This window comes from Homo sapiens, chromosome 6 (assembly GCF_000001405.40).
Source record: "Homo sapiens chromosome 6, GRCh38.p14 Primary Assembly".
Classification (NCBI taxonomy): domain Eukaryota; kingdom Metazoa; phylum Chordata; class Mammalia; order Primates; family Hominidae; genus Homo; species Homo sapiens.
In genome coordinates, this window is record NC_000006.12 from 1,981,501 (window position 1) to 2,002,547 (window position 21,047).

General features: G+C 41.0%; 1 protein-coding gene across 12 annotated transcripts in view, besides 1 other annotated feature; it reads right to left on the reverse strand.

Moving 5' to 3' along the window:
- GMDS (GDP-mannose 4,6-dehydratase) overlaps positions 1-21,047 on the reverse strand; it is a 621,800-nt gene that overhangs the window by 357,695 nt on the left and 243,058 nt on the right. The gene's annotated exons all lie outside the window — the stretch shown is intronic.
- Positions 18,142-18,342: a silencer, noted in NCBI's record as "peak5622 fragment used in MPRA reporter construct". NCBI's record gives its function as "represses an SCP1 promoter by STARR-seq MPRAs in K562 erythroleukemia cells {active_cell/tissue: K562}" and the evidence as "EXISTENCE:reporter gene assay evidence [ECO:0000049][PMID:32103011]".

The following is a 21,047-nucleotide window of genomic DNA, read 5'->3' on the forward strand; positions in this document are numbered from 1 at the left end:
TGAATAGACCAATAATGAGTCTGAAATTGAGGAGGTCAAACCAAAGAAAGCCCAGGACCAGATAGATTCACAGTTGAATTCTACCAGAGGTACAAAGAGGAGCTGGTACCATTTTTACTGAAACTATTCCAAAAAATTGAGGATGAGGGACTCCTTCCTAACTCATTCTATGAAACCAGCATCATGCTGACACCAAAACCTAGCAGAGGTACAACAAAAAAAAGAAAAACTTCAGGCCAATATCCTTGATGAACATCAGTGCAAAAATCCTCAACCAAATACTGGCAAACCGAATCTGGCAGCACATCAGAAAGTTTATCCACTACAATCAAGTTGGCTTCATGCCCAGGATGCAAGGTTGGTTTAACATACACAAATCAATAAATGTGATTCATCACATAAACAGAACTAAAGACACAAAACACATGATTATCTCAATAGATGAGAAAAGGCCTTCCATAAAATTCAACATCCCCTCATGTAAAAACTCTCAGTAAACTAGGTATTAACAGAAAATACTTTGGCCAGGTGCGGTGGCTCACACCTGTAATCCAGGCACTTTGGGAGGCTGAGGCGGGTGGATCACCTGAGGTCAGGAGTCCCAAGACCAGCCTGGCTGACATGGTGAAACCCCATCTCTACTAAAAATACAAAAATTAGCCAGGCGTGGTGGTAGGTGTCTGTAATCCTAGCTACTTGGTAGGCTGAGGCAGGAGAATCACTTGAATCTGGGAGGCAGAGGTTGCAGTGAATATGATAAACTCACAGCCATTATCATACTGAATGAGCAAAAGCTGGAAGCATTCCCCTTGAAAACCAGCACAAGACAAGGATGCCCTCTCTCACCACTCCTATTCAACATATATTGGAAGTTCTGGCCAGGACAATCAGGCAAGGGAAAGAAATATAAGGTATTCAAACAGGAAGAGATGAAATCAAACTATCTTTGTTTGCAGATGACATGATCCTGTATCTAGAAAACCCCATTGTCTCAGCCCAAAAACTTCTGAAGTTGATAAGCAACTTTGGCCAAGTCTCAGGATCACTGTGCAAAAACTACTAGCATTCCTGTACACCAACCACACGCAGGCTGAGAGCAAAATCATGAATGAACTCCCATTCACAATTGCCACAAAAAAAATAAAATACCCAGGAATACAGCTAACAAGGGAAGTAAAGGACCCCTTCAAGGAGAACTACAAACCACTGCTCAAAGAAATCAGAGATGACAAAAACAAATGGAAAAACATCAAATGCTCATGGATAGGAAGAATCAATATCATGAAAATGGCCACATTGCCCAAAGCAATTTATATATTCAATGCTATTCCCATTAAACTACCATTGACATTCTTAATGGAATTAGAAAAAGACTACTTTAAAATTCATATGGAACCAAAAAAAGATTCCAAACAGCCAAGACAATGTTAAGCAAAAAGAACAAAACTGGAGGCATCATGCTACCTGAATTCAAACTACACTACAAGGCTACAGTAATCAAAACAGCATGGTACTGGTATAAGAACAGACACATAGACCAATGAAACAGAATAGAGAACCCAAAAATGAGACCGCACACCCACAACCAACTGATCTTTGACAAACCTGACAAAAACAAGCAATGGGGAAAGGATTCCTTAGTTAATAAATGGTGATGAGAGAACTTGCTAGCCGTATGCAGAAAACTGAAACTGGATTCCTTCCTTACACCATATACAAACATCAACTCAACACGGACTAAAGACTTAAATGTAAAACCCAAAACTAAAAAATCCCTAGAAGAAAATCTAGGCAATACCATTCAGGACATAGGCACAGGTAAAGATTTCATGACCAAGGCACCAAAAGCAATTGCAACAAAAGCAAAAGTTGAGAAATTGTATCTAATTAAACAGAAGAGCTTCTGTACAGCAAAAGAAACGATCAACAGAGTAAACAGACAACCTACAGAATGGAAAAAAATTTTTCCAATCTATCCATCTGACAAAGGTCTAACATCCATCATCCATTAGGAACTTAAATCTACAAGAAAAAAATAAACCATTAAAAAGTGGGCAAAGAACATGAACAGACATTTCTCTAAAGAAGACACACATGTGGCCAACAAGCATTTGAAAAAAAAGCTCAACATCACTGATCATTAGAAAAATGCAAATCAAAACCACAATGAGATACCATCTCATGCCAGTCCAAAAGGCTATTTAAAATGTCAAAAAACAACAGATGCTGGCAAGGTTGTGGAGAAAAAGAAATGGTTTTACACTGTTGGTTGGAGTGTAAATTAGTTCAACCATTGTGGAAGACAGTGTGGTAATTCCTCAAAGACCCAGAGGCAGAAATACCATTTTATCCAGCAATCCCATTACTGGGTATACATTCAAAAGAATATAAATCATTCTATTATGAAGATACATGCATGCGTATGTTCAGTGCAGCACTATTCATATTAGTAAAGGCATGGAATCAACCTAAATGCTCATCAATGATAGACTGAATTAAAAAATGTGGTACATATACACCATGGGATACTATGCAGCCATGAAAAGGAATGAGATAATGTCCTTTGTGGGACATGGATGGAGCTGGAAGCCATTATCTTCAGCAAACTAACAGAACAGAACAGAAAACCAAATACTGTGTGTTCTCACTTATAAGTGGGAGGTGAATGATGAGAACATATGGACACACTGCAGGGACTAACACACACTGGGGCCTGTCAGAGGGTGGAGAATGAGAGGAGGGAGAGCATCGGGAAGAATAGCTAATGAATTCTGGGCTTAATACCTAGATGATGAGATGATCTCTGCAGACAACCACCATGGCATATGTTTACATATGTAACAAACCTGCACATCCTGCACATGTACCTCTGAACTTAAAATAAAAGTTAGAAATCCCCGCCCCCGCCTCCAAAAACAAGAGAAATAGCCAGTGAGTAATCTAATGAGAGGTATAATTAAGAAACAGGGCTGGCCCTGAGGGTGAAAACAAGACATCTGGGCATCACTGAATATCCAGGCCAGTACACTACAGCTGCTCCTAGTGACCCTAATGTCCTTTATAAATCTACCCCCTTAACACCTTGGATCTCTCATGACTCATTGGCCTATAGGCAAAATTCTTCAAACAGGTTTCCTGGTCTCTATCTGGCATTTCTACAATCCATCCTCCATGCTACCAAAATTATCTTTCTAAATTGTAAAACCTACTCAGGTCACACCCTTCTAAAGTATAATGGCTCCCAGAGCTTTCGGGTGAAGTTCAACAGCTTAGCTTAAATAATTCCAGTAGGCCACAATTCCCACTGCTGCCACTCTCTGTACAGCAATGATGAAATTTTAAATTAGAAAATTAAAAAGGCATGACTGGGTAGGAATGGCCCAAAACAACACAAAGCTACTGAAAAACAAAGCAGAAAGTAAGGCTGAAGCTGCAAGTCTGTTGGGAGTTCAAGGCAAAGGTGGGATTTCAGCCCCCATGAGTAACAGGGTAACAGCTAAAAGCACCTAGTGAAGAGGGAATTCAGTCAGGCTTGTTGCTTAAAATCCAATGCAGAGGCAGAATTTTCCAGCCCATGAAAAAAAGATCAAAGAAGTTGTTTCTTTTTTATTTAACATAAAGTTAAGTGTCTAAAAAAAGAGGCACATGGCAACAGACAAAGCTTTACACAAGGGTCTGCTCCAGATGCCTGCTGGCTTTTCCACTGAACAGAGCTGTTAGATTTCCAATATCAGAGCTGGATGAAGCTCTATGCCACCAATATAGAACTAGTTCTGGACCAGAGCATCCTAGAGGCTGAATGGTGGCAGCCACACAACCATTAACCATACGGGATAAGAATACAAGAGGGGTAGGGGTCCTATTCAATACAGGCTTGCAAACCGATTTTTTTTTAAAAAGAACATTAATGTCAAGAAAGAACCAATAAGAACTATTTAATGTAACTGAAGAGAACATTTACTACAGAGAACATGAAAATAAGATAGCATTCTGAAAATGACTTTGAAACATCTCTCTTTAACAATGACTTTTAAATATATCTTAAACCAAGAAAAAAAATCAGCTAAAAACAAGAAAGCATTTTTATAAGCAGGCTAAAATGAAACAACAGATTTGAAAAGGAATCAAAATTCTGGAAATAAAACATTCAAACAACAAAACTAAAAATATAGAAAGGTGCAAGCCTTTGGAAAATACACCTAGAAAACTCATAGCAAGAACAGACACCACAAGAAGACACACAGGCAGAAAACATCCCAGTTCAGTGAAAAGAGGGAGCAAGAGAAGGGTGATTGGTGACCACACAAGGAAGAGGCGGGCTACTAAAACCGAGATCTTCAAGAACTGAAAGGTGGCAGAAGTTTACTGGTCTTAAAATCTAGCTTAGAGGAAAATGGGCAAGTCAGAATTTGCCCCTGGCACTAGTGGTATTTGGGAAATGGTTCATTTCCATAATACAAGAACCACTTTATTTTTCCACAGCTTCAAGATGCACAAACCTTAGCTTGGTACACTGGCATATTTATGACCCTTTGAAAAATGGATGACCTAGAAAACTAGTGAGGGACCATAATTTTAAGTTTCAACATTTCTTTTACTCAAAATAACATTGCTTTCCTTGAAGATTTATTTTAATAAGACAAGGTCTTGAATCACAGGTAATCTGTAAACGTGTTCTTAAAAACAAATGAGAAAAGGAGCTTCCCAGGGGAGTTTTCTAAAGTCAGGTGAGATGTTACCTGCTTTCCCTACCTCAAATTACTCTTGCTTCTTTCCAGGTTAACTATCCAGGGAAGTACCAGTGCCGTCTGGACAAGTATAATACGAAAACAGTGTGCTTCCCTCAATGCTGGAGGCTGATACGTGGTACAACGGCAGGGAAAAAACTGATAAGGCTTCTAAACTTACCATCAACAAAGACCCAGAACTTGCATCTGTGAATTCCCTATGAAACCTAGTCTTTCACTACCTTAAAGAGGGCAGAAAATATATTAAGAATTAAATACCTAAGAAAGTTGTCTTAAGTTTCTAAGAATGTGGTGCTACATTATCACAAAGCTGTATTAATAGCTAATCTTCAGACTTCTCTGTGAAGGCAGACTTTACATAATCAAACACTACAGTATGAAAATGAAAGGAGGGCTGTAGGAGTGATCTCAGGAGACCCTGAGAATCATGATGACTCCAAACCTCTGTCACAAAGCTTTAAGCATGCCATTAGTTTTGCTTATCTCTCCACTCATTGCTATTAATTTAATGGTCTGGGGAGCTGTCAGGGATATTTGGTAAGAGCAATTTCTCTTCCAGGATAATCTCCAGCCCATTATTCAAAATTTTTTTAGCTTTAAGCTACACAGAATGAGAGTAAGGGGGCTGGGTAGGGAAGGGAGGTAAGAAGGATGGTAAATAAGCTAAGAAGCAAGAGACAACATTTTTTCAAAGGAGATATTGTAAACACTATTCTCTTTATTTCACACTGCAAAAGCACAATAAACCAGTAGTTGAGCCAGAAGAGGTTTTGTTGTTTGAGGCAACGTTGTACCCTCTGTGATGAGTGACATGGTAGTGCTCTGTGAGTTTGCTTACACAAGCCAGAGCCAGCTGTGCTAGAAGCTTCCCTACTACACAGAAGTTAGGGGCAGAAAAGGGACTTGAGAAACCACCAGAGAACATTAGTATGAAGATGTAAAAAGATAGCCCATTCATATTTTCCTTATTTGTGTCAAGGGAAAAAAGACTGAGTCTAAATGTGGGAAAGGAATTTTTAAAACCTTTTTTCAACTTTTTTTTTCTTCCTTTCTATTTATATACATACATTTAAAACACACTCGAAGTTTAAAATCTACTGAAAATTGCTGTGTCTCTCAATTGGTATGGAATTTTCTCTCATTTTACTCTTTTCAGTTTTTGCTTAAGACACATTGAGTATTTGCAAAACTATCACTTGACAGTCGTATTTTTGTTCATTCAACAAATATTTATAGCGCAACACCTAAGGCCCTGGAACTGTTCTAGGCACCAGGACACAATCGTGAAGGGAACAAGCAAAAATCCCTGCCTTTTAGAGCTTACATTCTAGTGAGAGGAGAAGAAAACTGACAATATAAAGAGGTGAAATATATAGTAAGTTCAATAGTGATAAGAACTATGGGGGAAAAAAGCTGGAAAGGGAGAGGACGTTGGGTTGTACTTTTAAATATGGTAAAGCTTTTCTAAGCAAAAGAATGAAACATAAAAATGGAAATGTAGTAGGCACTGAAGAAGCAGTTGTAGTCTACTTCATAGTAATTTAAGTTTGAAATTTGCCATGTGCCAGGCACTAGGCCAAGTGCTTTACATGCACTCTGCCATTTAAGTATTATGACAAGTCTGTGAGTCAGGGACTACTATTATATTTATTTTACCTCTCGAAAAAAAACTAAAGCTCAGAGCAATTAAGGAGCTTGCTTATGGTCACAGTTAGTAAGCAACAGAACTGGGATTAACACCAAGGAAAAAATAATAACATAAGGAAAACAACCAAACCACCAACAACACATACACATACATGCATATGCACAGCCCCCATATGCATTCTTTACTATTTTCTATAACATATACTATTTTCTTTAACTACAAGCTAGATACAGAATTGGTAGCCTAATTTTCTGTGCAATTTAACACCAAGATGATGCTTCACTTTTTCTAAAAACAAGGTGGTTGTGATTTAGAATCAGGTTGCCTCTAAGAGTATATTTTCATGATGGTTTTTCATAATTCAGAGTATATTTTCTCTTAGATACAATATAGTAAATAGTGGCTTAACTTCATATAAGCCTACGTGATTCAGGCTGAAGCTAAATAAATATACAAGTTAAAAAAAAAAAAGAATGTGATAATATATCCTCCCTGCAACTGTACCCCTTCTCCAGCCCAATCCCACCCTCATCTCCTCCCTTTGGGATGAAAGAGCTCCTTCTTGGCGGTGGGGGCGAGGGGGGCTCCAAACCCAGGGTGCTCCAGAGTGTGCTCCAATTTGGGCTCCCTATCCAGCTCACCCCAACTGCACGTTCTTCCCGGTAGAATAACCCTCCATGTGAATTTTGGAACATGCATGCCATCTGTAATAATGCCATGTCCTGTGTATTTAACAAGAAAGAATTATTTTGAACTGTAGAAACAGGCAATCAGGGCCTGATAGGCTTAAGTATTGTCAATGTTTAAAAACAATATTTAAAAACAGTGTTTTTAAAAAATAACAAAAGAAAATAAATCAATATTTTAAAATGAGAAGTGGATTTTGAAATATTTTGAATGTTTGTTAGCTAGCTTTGAGAGATGAATAGGATATAGATAAATGGTTTGGAAAAAAACACAGGTGAGAACCAAAAAAAAAAAGCTTAAGAAAACCCCAGGTTGATCTGGGCAAGCTGCACTTGTCAAGAGTTATGCCGGGAGCAGTGAGCAGTAAGAGCAGAAAGGCTGGCCCTCTTGGATTACAGAGGACTTCCAAGAGTCAGCAAGGACTCAGAGCTGCAGGGGGCATGAGCCCATGCTCATTTTTTCTTACAGTAATGATCCTGACAATGGGAACGGAGAACGTTGACACAAGTTTATTCCACATGACAGAACTGGCATAGTGGAAGGTCATGGGGGTATGGGAATTTAGGAAAGTCCTACAAGTTACAATCTGGTGGTTAATGCAATACTTTCCAAGACATTTAAGGCCAAGAAAAGAAGTAGATAGGGCTAAGTACTTTAGAATCCGAGAGCTAAGAAATGGGCATACTCTTGGTGTGAGGAAGAGAAGCAGAGAGTTGGTAAAAAGGCTGTTAATGGAAGAGAAGGTTACATGTGCAAATTCCTACATCAGAACAGCTAGGCTGGTATGTGGTCAAGGTCAGGGAAAAAAGAGAGAGAGATAAAGAGTTTGCTCTGAGGGGAGAGGGTAACCCTGAGATCCCCAAAGAAGAAAGGCTAAGAAAGGCTTTGTGTTCACATGTTCATATTTTCACCCAGCGTGACACTTCACATTTAAATTCAAGAGGCAGAAAATTCACTCTGCAGATTTGTAAGGAAAAATCCAAAAGACTTTGTTTAATCTTTGAAACGCAAAAAAGCTCTGAGTACCTAGAACACTGTGGGCACTAGATGACTAACTCCTCCTAGGGTCCCCTGCCACAACAAACCAAGACTGGTACACTCCCTTCCAAACACTCCTCTCTGATGCTACCCCTCGGCCTGACCCTCATCTGGAGATTCACAATCACACTCCTGGCTAGCTGCTCTCTGTGACCCCTGTCCAGCCTGGCCCTGCCTTCCCTGGTCTGGAGCACATCCAATGTGAGGGGCTGAAGATACGCCCTTGGGGCCAGGCCCAGCTCTACTTTTTAGCAGGAGTGCAATTTTGGACATGGTACTGAACCTTTTAGTACTTTGGTTTCTTCATATGTAGAAGATGGATACAAATATTATTCACCCTACAAGGCAACTGTGAAGATTTTCCACGTAGGTGCTTAAGAAATGTTAGCCATAGGCTGGGCGCAATGGCTCACGCCTGTAATCCCAGCACTTTGGGAGGCCAAGGCGGGTGGATCATGAGGTCAGGAGATCGAGACCATCTTGGCTAATACAGTGAAACCCCGTCTCTACTAAAAATATAAAAAATTAGCCAGGCATGGTGGCACGTGCCTGTAGTCCCAGCTACCCAGGAGACTGAGGCAGGAGAATCGCTTGAACCCGGGAGGCGGAGTTTGCAGTGAGCCGAGATGGCACCACTGCACTCCAGCCTGGGAGACAGAGCGAGACTGTCTCAAAAGAAAAAGAAAGAAAGAAAGAAATGTTAGCCAGCGCCACCACCACCACCATCCCATCCTAACAAGTCCCTGTCCCTTTGGCCTTCCACTGTGACCTCTTAAAGCCACATTCTGGTGTAAAGGAAATTCTCCATTGACTTCACCTTCTGCTCAGATGTTGTCTCCACTTTCTTTCAGTAATCTGGCTGGTTCTCTGTTGATCAGTCAATTAACCTGTATTCTTACTAATACATAGTGGAACATACCCCCTGACAAATGTCAACCCCTTATCAATTGTTTCTGTTTTATTCTTTTTTTGTTGAGACAGGGTCTCTTGTCACCTAGGCTCCAGTGCAGTGACACAACCTCGGCTCATTCTAATCTCCGCCTCCCAGGCTAAAGCAATCCTCCCACCTTAGCCTCCAGAGTAGCTGGGACTACAGGCGCAGATCAGCACACCCAGCTAATTTTTTTTTTTTTTGGGGGGGTAGAGGCAGGGTTTCACCATGTTGCTGCCCAAGTTGGTCTCGAACTCCTGGGTTCAAGTGATCCTTCCATCTTGGCCTCCCAAAGTGCTGAGATTACAGGCATAAGCCTCCGTGCCCGGCCAACTGTTTGTTTTTCCTTCTACTCTAACTCTCTGGCTGCCAAAAAATGGGTGTTAAGTGGGCATTATCAACTTGTGGATGTTAATATTAGTAAGGATGTTGTAATATTAGTCAGTATAGTGTTCAGTCATGTCACATATTTTTAATTAGCTCCCTTTTGGGTTCTCTACCCCTCCTCTCAATGTTCCTACCCCTTCCTATTCCTCTTATTCTCCAGCAGACTATCCCCTTACCTCACCCAGAAAACAGACAAGTCACTGGAGTGTAAGTTTTCTCAAATGCTGTACTTGGATAACTCCACCAGTCTTCCCTTCTTTCTGCCTCTTAGTGGGAGAGATGTCCCTATTCCTTTCCAGGACCAATCTTCTCCCAGGCCCCGACTCCCAGGCTCTTCCACAGCTCCGGCATTTTCAACTTCTTCTTCTGGTCTCATATAAGTGCTCAAGGGCCCCCCTAAAAAGCTCCATCTCCTTTCCCGCACCTGGCCTACTCCCCACATCGTCACCCACCCCACTTCACTTCATTGTCAAACACCTTAGAAAGAACAGCCTGCTTGGCTGCTTCCCTTCTTTACCACCAGTAACCGCTGGTCTCCTGTGACCAGGCTCTTAGGAGGGTGGCCAATGATAGGCTTGACTGCCAAGTCCAATACCCTTTCTAGGACTATGTGCTCCTGACTTTCCTGAGTGTTGACTTCTCTCTCTCCCCAGGACTTTGATCACTTCATTTTGCCCAAATTCTCCTCTGATCCCTATGGTTGTTCTTTCTCTGTTTTCTTTACTGGCTTTTCTGGATCCAGGGCTTCGTTCATGTTGCCTAGTGTGGGATTGAACAGTGTCCCCCCAGAAAAGACATGTGTAAGTCCTAATCCCTGGCAACTCAGAATGTGATCTCATTTGTAATTAGAGTACCTGCCGATGTAATTTGATAAGATGAAGTCATACAGGGGTAGGGTTGGCACACAGTCCACCGTGACTGGTGTCCTTGTGAGGAGAGAAGACACAGACACAAAGACACAGGGAGATGTCGTGTGATGATGAGGACAGATCGGAGTTACGCAGCTCCACGGCAAGGAAGGCCAAATCGCTGCAAATCCCTAGATGCGAGGAAGAGGCATGGAAGGAGTCCCCCACCTGCTTCAAAGGGAGCACAGCCCTGCTGACACCTTAGTTTTGGACATTAGCCTCCAGAATGGTGAGACAATAAATGCCTTTTGTTTAAGCCACACAGTGTGTGGGCCTTTGTTAGGGCAGCTGTACCTGAGCATATATTCTGAGTTTCTGAGTATTCCCCAAGGGGTATTTCTAGCCCAGTACCCCCGCTGAGCTCCAGACTCACACTACACAACGAATTGGCCCTTAACTGGGCACTCTGCGAGCCTCTCCATCTCACCCTGTCTAAAATCTCCTCACTAACCTGGTGATCTCTCTGGCCTTCGCTGTTCATGGCCACCACCTCACCTGAAGCAAGGCTGGTGATCATCCACTCCTCCCTCCCCTTCTTCAGGCTAACCTCAGGTCTTCTCTGCTCCACTGCCATTTTCCCAGGCCAATCCTCTTGCCTATTCACCCACATCAGCGTCCAGGCTGTTCCTCAACACACCAGGCATGTTCCCGACCTAGGGGCTTTGCAGCACCTGTTCCTACTGCCTAAAATGTTTCCCCTAGAAATCTGCATGGCTACCACCCCCAACTTTACTCAGCTTTTCACTCAAATGTTGCCTTCCACATGAGGTCTCTGTGACCCATGCCCACACTGCCTCCGCCCTAGCACTCCCAATCCTTGGCCTACAGGATTCATCATCTTCTAAAAGAATATATAACTTGCTGGCCTGTTGGCTTATTTACTCAGTATTACTGTCTTCAGTCATGAATGTACTCCCCACCAGGGCTTACCTTGTTCCCCAACAGGTCCCAAACACTGAGGGCCAGTGCCTGGCAAAGAGAAGCTGCTCTTTACTTTCCTGCTGAGTGTGTTGATCTACAGGAGATGAACAGGCTTCCTCTGGTATTCCAATGACCAGCTCTGTCCCAACCAACACATCCCCTGCACTTCCCACAAAAAGCACAGTGACATTTCAATAGGACTATATTTGAAATAGTTTATGAATGAAAAGAAAGAACTATTAAAGGGAAAATGATGCAGCACCACAGATGTGAGTAGATCGTCCAGCTGCTTTTCCTACAGAATAAATACTAGATTCTCTCGGGAACGCTCACAGTGCTCTGTCACCTGGATGCAGTCCCATCTCCTCTCCCTTGCCCCAGCCTTGCCCAGCCCACACTGCACTGTATATCCAGTCCACCAAACTTCTCTTCCTTCTCGGAGGGTATGGGTATTCTCGCTTCTATGCTGGCTCGTGGTTTTGTTAGTTTCATTGCTGCCTTAGTCATGTGGGGGAATTCCTGACCAATTCATCCTTCTTTTTAATCCCTCAATCCTGAATTAGGTAACTTTTCCTCTATCACTTTCAACATTACATTATCAGCTGCAATAGAAGACCCTACACTTCTGACTTGTGGACTCCTGAGAGCAAGGTCTGTGATTATTCCACATGTGTATGGACAACACCTCTGCAGAGGGCCTGGCAGCTGCTAGATGCTCAATAAACCTCTGCCGAAGGCAGCTGCTAAAAGAAAAAAGAAAATCTTACTACGGAAAGTAAAAGATGATCCTCAGGCAAGAAACAAAAAAGTGCGACGGAAGCTCTGTTTCTATCTCTTCAGGGCCGTGCTTCATTATTATTTCCTCATTCTCCAATTCCTCACAAAGCTCTATTTTATAAATGTTTGCAGAGCTTTAAGTTAATCCTAACATTTACTCTCCAGCCCTCAATCTTTAATGACTCCTTCTCTAAAAAAAAAAAAGGCAGAAAAAGTAAAGATTTATATAAGTTCAAAAGAAACTTAAAAATCCAGACAAAGACTTATCATCAGCCACGTATGGAATGTGAGTGGATTCTTGCCTAAAAAGCTAGCTCTAGCTGCAAATTTCCTATATTCTCCCAGTGCCACGGGACGGTGATGAGAGGTCTCCCACTCCATGGGGCTCTGCCCACCTCTGCTCACCCACTCCACACCTCCCACCACACTTTTCTAGTGCTTGAAGGAAGTGAAGACAGTAGCCTTTAACATGTTCCATTACAGCAACTGCTTTGGTGTAGTGACTTACAAGGAAGCCTGCAAAGGAGGCATTTAAGAACTGGTTTTATAAGTTCATAGAATAGTTAAGAATCTGAATAATTTTCTTATTCCTTGTATTTGTACTTAGATGTGGCTCCCAAGATAAAGTCACATTGTCTCCTTTATTTTCTTGTTCTTTTTATGCTAAAAAACATTTAGAATATTTTATCAACAAAACACACAGACACAAACCCCTTTCCAATTCTCTCAACCAAAACAAATATACAATCATGATAGAAAGTTAGTATGTGAAAGTAGAAGGCTACACTCTTAGGTGATATTAACATCACTCCTGAAACTAATTCTTAGTATTTCAGTTTTCCCATGAGGGAAATGATATGCTATATTCCATAATTTGCAAGCTTTTAATTTTCACAAAGCATCAAGAAGGCAGGCCATAAATAACCCTTCAGCAAACATTTATGAACCATTTACTCAGGCCAGGCACTGTGCTGAGTTTGGGAACAGAAAGATAAATGAGGCGCAAACTTTGTCATTGAGGAACCCATGATATATCTGGGTCTCATAGATGCAAAGCAATAATAACATTAAAATCTGTTTACTGCACAATCAGAAGTATGGGCATATGGTACGCAGAGAAAAAGGACTTTAGCAAGTATGTGTATATATGCTCTGGGAGCCTGGGGCCTCCAGAAGGAGGTGGCATTAAGCTGAGTTTCACTGGATAGGTTGGGAGGAAGGGCACACAGGGGATACATGGCCTGCAAAGACACAACATAGTCCCACTTTTAAGAAGAAAAACTGATAACTCACATTTATTTCTCCTACTTAAAAAAGTCATATGGAAATCACTAAAGCAATATAAAATTAAGAAAAATATCAATAGCAGCTCTAGGAAACAGAAAAGGGAACACCCAACAAAGGAAAAACTAAAGAACTTTTTTGAACACTATAAAGCATGTATGATTGGATCACACAAAAATAATCCATGCTTAGTTAGCATCAACACAACACAGAGGCAGTAACCTTATACGAAGGCACCTTACAAACCCCTAAAAACCTGCAAGCCGTAAGCAGCAACCTGGCTGTACACCACAGCCAGGGAGAAATGGGGCAGCAGAAACTGAGGGGCCACCATGGCAATGCCTGGAGAACACGGCTCACCATGTAATTGGGAGGGTAGGTGTTGTGCCACAGATCGTTTACAGTGGGGTACAAGGGAGGACCACAGTGACAGAGAGGGAATGGGAAGACCAGTCTTGCACCACACCTCCAGGTCTACTCCTCTGCTAGCTACAGCTCTGACTGGACACAGGCTGCCTGTGACCCCAGCCCTAACCAGTGCACGGGCTCTACCAAAAAGAGTAAGGAAGAAGGAGAAGATGGGAAGCAAACCAACACACTTAGGGATTCTATCAAAAACTCCAATAGAGAGTGGCTGTCCACAGTATTCCATCCCTGTGTTGTCTCAGAGAGAACATCAACAACAACAAAATCAACTCCATCCGCACTAACATTTCCATGGGTACCTGCGTTAGGTTTACTAGAGATCCTGCACTTAGGGAGATAAACACATGAAGCATTTAATCTTCCACCACTGCCCCCAGCTGCACTGTCAAATACTCTTTCTCCTAAGAAGAACCTTCAACCACATGCAGGCAGATCCAAGACATTCCTGGTTACTTTCTGACATCACCACTCTAATGCAAGCCAGTCCTATGGCTCAGGGCACGTGGCTTGGGAAGGGCCAGGCTCTCCACTGACTGGGAAGAGAAGCTGAACCTGGTTCTGGGAACACCTCCCTCTTTCTGGTCCTGCTTAACTGCCTGAGGTTACATTTCCTTCTTTTTGGTGATCTCTACTTCTTTGTTTAACAATGCCCAGCTGGGTCGCTAGGTGGCAAATAGACACATGCTAACTCAAGCATGCTTTGCTGAAGTTGGATCTGCAAAAGCCTGGGGGTGGAGGGGAAGGCTATACCACTGCACAGTTCCCTGAGGGAGGGAGAAACATGGCTTTGGGATAGCCTCTTCTTTTCTTTTCTTTCTTTCCTTCTTTTCTTCTTCTCCTTCTTCCTTCTCCTTCTCCTTCCTCCTCCTTCCTCCTTCCTCTTCTTCCTCCTTCCTCTTCCTTCCTCCTTCCTCTTTCTCATTCTTCTATAACTATGGTACCAAGGGACAGCCTCTTCTCACACACTCCCTGCCCCCAACAACTGCTTCAAGCACAGCCAACAACACCACAGCTTACAGTGTCCAGCTGCTGGGGTTTCCTCACTGGGAGTGCATCTTCTGGGTAGTGTACCTTTTTAAGAGACAGGGGGTGGCTATTCCACTGCTGTCCTTTCTCTCTGCCCTGCCATTTCTCTTCCCATTCTCTTCTTCCCTGCTTTAGTAGACTACCTCTATTAGAACTAAGCTCATGTAACAGTGATAGAAAAGCTAGAGAAGTTTAAATAAGATGAAGGTTTATTTCTCTTTCACTTACATAAGTCTGCTGGTAGACAGGAAGGGCTAGCGTAGTATCCTAACAATTACTAGGGACGTTATTTTTTTCTATATATTTCTCCACTCTCTGCATCATATGGCTTCCAACTCTTGGTACAAAATGGTTGGCAGAATTCCTGCCATCACATGCACCTTCCCATCAAGAGGATTATTTCCCTTCTACTTTATGGATTCTTCTAGGAAGCTGCACACATCATTTCTACCTAAAAGTGATTTCTTAGAAGGGGGTCACATGACCACACCTAGGTATAAGGGGAGCTAAAAAATGTAGTTCTTCATGTCTGAGGACATGTACTCAGACAAAAATTGAGAATTCCACTACTCAGAAGAGAAAAACAGAAATTGACAGACAACCAACAGTGTTTTCCATACTACCTAAACAGATTTCCAACTAAGGAGTAAGACCCTAGTCTTTTTTTTTGTTTTTAAAGCACCATCGAATTTTCCAAGTAAGTCTTCTGATGCCCACCTCACTTAGCTTGGTGAGAGGAGGGAACGGCCATGGTATTTCCTAGTGGGCTGATGATTCTCAGCCCCCTCCTTCTACTCAATGTGCTCTGACAGCCAGGCAGAGGAAGGGATGGGGTAAAGAGGGAAGGTGCTGGCAGATAGCAAAGTTGGTTCTGATAACTGCTTCTTAAGACCTGAGGAAGGAATAGGTCTCAGTTATTGATGGTTTTCTTGAGAAAGTGAAGACTGGCTGGGCACGGTGGCTCATGCCTGTAATCACAGCACTTTGGGAGGCCAAGGTGGGCAAATCACGAGGTCAGGAGACGGAAACCATCCTGGCCAACATGGTGAAACACCATCTCTACTAAAAATACAAAAATTAGCCAGGCGTGGTGGCACACGCCTGTAGTCCCAGCTACTCAGGAGGCTGAGGCAGGAGATTTGTTTGAACCTGGGAGGCGGAGGCTGTAGTGAGCTGAGATCGCGCCACTGCACTCCAGCCTGGGAGACAGAGTGAGACTCTGTCTCAAAAAAAAAAAAAAAAAAAAGATGTGAGGACTTCACATCACATCTCTAAGACCTCTGCTTTGGACAGAAATCATCAGTGTGCAGAAAACTCCTCCTCAACCCCTGTGGTGGCTTCCTAAAGGGATCATGATTCTTGTCTGTTCCCAGGAAATACACCTGGAAGGGAAGGCCAACTTTTGGCCTGTGGACCCTAGTGAGGTTCATCTCCACTGGCCAATTTGGTGAGCAGAGACCCCTGGGAGACAGCAAACAGAGACTTCCACAAGTGCATCGAGGGGCACCTGCCAACTACCCACATTGATCAGTTTATACCTCTCTATAAAAACAAGCAGGCTATGAAGGGTCAATGAACACTGGAAGAAGACCAAAAATGGGATAGGAGCCAAGCTGAGTAGGCAGGGGAAACGGCCTTTCCTCTGTATCTTCTGGGAAATGCAAAGATACTGCCTCTCAGAGGCAGTACAAGAAGCCTATGAAGAAGGAAGAGCAAATGAGTACCAAGAAAGAGCTCCAGGAAATGAAAAACCAGTTACTTAGGGAAGCTACTCACTGGAGACCTTAGGCAAACAAATAAACATCGGGGAAGATCAAATCTTGATTTAGAAAATGATCTGAAAGTGACCTTCCAGAATGTAAAGGAAAAATAATGAAAGAACAAATGAGAAACATAAATGTCATATCCAGGAGTTATCATAGCTGTGAAAACAATTGAATGAAAGAGAAAGAATCATCAACCTAACGAAAAACTTCCAAGAGGATAAACAGCCCATGAAATACCAGATAAGAATATTGACAGATCATCTACGCACAAACTCCTGGTAGAGTTTCTAAATAAAATAATAAAAAGAAAGTCACTATGAGCTCCCTAGTAAGAAATAAGGAAAGGAAGGAAAAGGAGGGAAGAAAAGAAGAGGAAGAAAGGGACAGGGAAGGCAATTCTAAATGCTAAAAAGTATAGAGCAATAATTACACAAATCTGAGGAAAAGGATTATAACCCCAGAATGGAAACAAAATATTAACAGTCAGCCCTTCGTATCCATAGGTTCAGCAGCTGCAGATTCAATCAACCACAATTCAAAATATTCAGAAAAAAATTTTAATAACATACAAGAATAAAAAGTATTACTTTTTAAAACTACAGTGTACCAATTATTTACATAGCATTTATAATGTATTAGGTATTATAAGTTATCTAAGACGATTTGAAAAATACAGCAGGATGTATATATGCTGTTTGCAAATATCACATCATTTTACATAAGCAACTTGGGCATCCATGGATTTTGGTATCCAAGAAGGCTCCTGGAAGCAATCCCCCATGGATGCCAAGGGACAGCTGTATTAAGCATAAAAATAAAGGAAAACTGTTTTTTTTAAAACAAAAAGACTCAGAAATTATACAACCAATGCAAGATATTACTTGGGAAATACTTCAGCCAAAAAAGTACAAATAGATAAGACATGCAACAAGCAATAAGTAATAAAGATAATAATTCTAATTATCCCAAACCATTTTAAATAATGCAGATAATAGGCCAGGTGCGGTGGCTCACGCCTGTAATCCCAGCACTTTGGGAGGCCAAGGCGGCCATATCATGAGGTCAGGAAATCGAGACCAGCCTGGCCAACATGGTGAAACCCCGTCTCTACTAAAAATACAAAAATTAGCAGGGCGTGGTGGTGCATGCCTGTAATTCCAGCTACTTGGGAGGCTGAGGCAGGAGAATCGCTTGAACCAGGGAGTTGGAGGCTGCAGTGAGCCGAGACTGCACCACTGTACTACAGCCTGGTGACAGAGCGAGACTCTGTCTCAAAAAAAAAAAAAAAAAAAACTGCAGATAATGAATTAACTGCAATTGTTCAGAAAGATATTAAAAGATGTAAAAACAAGCTGATCTAGTATTTAAAATATAAGTTATTTCTACAAAACCTAGAATTTCAGGTAGAAGATGGCAGACTAGCTTAAAAGTTTGCACAAGATTTCCTTTGATCCTTGGCAAGGATACAGTGGCATGAAGATTTTGCTACAGTCTTGGAATTTACAAGTTCAAATATTCTAATGAGGAACAACCAACAAAATATAGTTGGACTCAACTGGAGGTAGAATATAGTTTTAAAAAAATTAGATCCATTAGAGACATCAGAAACATAAAAAAAAATAAAATGAGAACATAAATTTTAAAAACAAACAAAAATGAATGACAGGAATTAGGACAAGGGTAATATGCTGTGAAAGATAAGGAAATCTCCTCTCCCAATTTTGCTAGATGATATTACTCCCCTTTCTTAAAAACATAGTTAACACTGACATTCTTATCTGTTGCCATAGTTCACACAGCTGTTTGGTCTTACTTTTCAAAAATACCAGTTTTATTGAGACATAACGATATATATAATATATATATTATATACATATTATATATTATTATATATAATATATAATATGTATATTATATATATATTATATATATATTTTATATATATATATTATATATATATATTTTTTATATATATATATATCTATATCTTTTTTTTTTTTTTTTTGAGATGGAGTCTCATTCTGTCGCCCAGGCTGGAGTGCAGTGGCATGATCTCAGCTCACTGCAAGCTCCACTTCCCAGGTTCACGCCATTCTCCTGCCTCAGCCTCCCCAAGTAGCTGGGACTACAGGCGCCCGCCACCATGCCCGGCTAATTTTTTGTATTTTTGGTAGAGATGGGGTTTCACCGTGTTAGCCAGGATGGTCTCCATCTCCTGACCTTGTGATCCACCCGCCTTGGCCTCCCAAAATGCTGGGATTACAGGCGTGAGCCACCACTCCCGGACAGTATTTACTATATTAACTGGTTTCTACAACTATCACCATAGTCCATTTCAGAGCATTTTAATCATTCCAAAAGAAACTATGTATTCATTAGCAGTCACCTCCCCAACCCCTGTCCCTTCAACCCTCCCCAATCCCTAAAACCCACTCAACTATTTTATGTCTCTATTACCTATTTTGGACATTTCATGTAAATGTGGTCTTTTGTAAGCTACCTCTTTCGATTAGCATAATATTTTTAAGGTTCATCTATATTGGAGCATGTATCACTACTTTATTACCTTAAAAAGAAACTGTCAATCTCACTTGTGTATGAAGTCTCTTTTTTTGTTTTAGTGGTTCTTTGAGAGACAGGGTCTCGCTCTTTTGCTCAGGTTGAAGTGCAGTGGCACAATCATAGCTTACTGCAGCCTGGAACTCATGGGCTCAAGTGGTTCTCCCACCTTAGCCTCCCAAGTAACTGGAACTATAGGCATACACCACCATGCCCAGCCTTCATTCCTTTCTAAGAAATACTATTCCTTTGTATACCCAATGTATAATACATTTGTTTATCCATTAACCAGCCGATGGACATTCGGATTGTTTCTATATTTTAGCTGCTATGAGTAGCACTGCTATAAACATTCTTGTTTAAGTTTTTGTGTGGACCTATGCTTTCATTTCTCTTGGGTAGAGTAGAATTGCTAGATCATCAAGTGGTAGTTCTACGGTTAACAATGTGAAGAACTACAGACTGTTTGCAGAAGTGGCTACACTAATTTACATTTTCATCAGTAGTGTACGAGATTTCCAATTCTCTAATTTCTTCACCAACACCTGTTATGATCTGACTTTTGATTCCACTCATCATAATAGATATGGACTGGTATTTCATTATGGTTTTGATTTGCATTTCCCTAATGACTAATGATGTCAAGCATCTTTTCACATGCTTATTGGTCATTTGTAAATCTTTTTTGGAGAAATGTTTACTCAGTTCCTTTGCCCACTTTTTAATTGGGTTGTCTTTTTATTACTGAGTTGTAAGAGTTTTTAGATATTCTAAATCTCTATCCCTTATCAGATACATGATTTGCAAATAGTTTCTCTCATTCTGTGGGTTGCCATTCTCTTTCTTCATGGTATCTTTTGAAACACAAAGGTTTCTAATTTTTTTCTTTTAAGAGTTTTATGCTTTTAGCTCTTACATTAGGTTTTTGAAACTGATGCACTGATTTTAAAAACCATATGAAATAGCAAAGGATCCAGAATAACCAGAAAAAGAACAAAGTTGGAGGACTCACACTTCCTAAATTCCAAACTTATAATACAAGCAACAGTAATAAAGAAAGTGCTGTACTGGCATAAGAATAGATGCACAAATCAATGGACTAGAAACATGAGTCCAGAAAAAAACCCATGTGTCTAGGATCGACTGATTTCGACAAGAGTTGCTAGGACCATTCAGTGGGAAAGAGTAGTCTTTTCAACAAATGGTGCACGGACAACTGGAGAGCTACATGTAAAAGAATGAAGTTTGCCCTTACTTCATAGCATATATAAAACTTAACTCAAATGGATCTAAGACCTAAATGTAGCAGTCTCAGTTTTATATTTAAATACATTCACTATTTGCCACCAATTCCTTTTACTGTGGCTTTACTATTCCAATTTTATTTTGCTTCATCAATTTGCTGGCTGAATTATACTCTCAGATGGTTTCCAAGTAGAAGTGCATAGGTGCTGAATAATCACAATTGTTTAATATTCGTTTTTAAAAGTTTGTTTTAAAATGGTCTTGAAGGGAAAATTGGATTTATATAAAGTTCTGGAATCACATTTCCTTTGTTCCACCATCTTCTAAGACCAAGAACTTATTCATTCATTTATTCATTTAACAAACATTGTTGCGTGCCTACCGCATGTCAGACGGTAGTGGCGAAAGACAGTGTCTCTGCCCTCAGGGCTCCTTTATCCTATTGGAAGGAAATAATCAACAAAAGTTATGTATCAGGTGGTGGCAAACACTACAGAGATAAGGCAGGATGAATGAGGGATATAGTTAGAGACTGAATTATAAATGTAAACATACTGTCAAAAAATGTGTCAACTTCTGTTTTTCATAATCCTTTCTTACCTTTACTGTTGAGGATCTTTTAGGAACTAATGTCAAATATTAATCTAATGAAAAGGAATTAATCTGAAGTTGAGGAGTTCTTTCAATGTCACTATT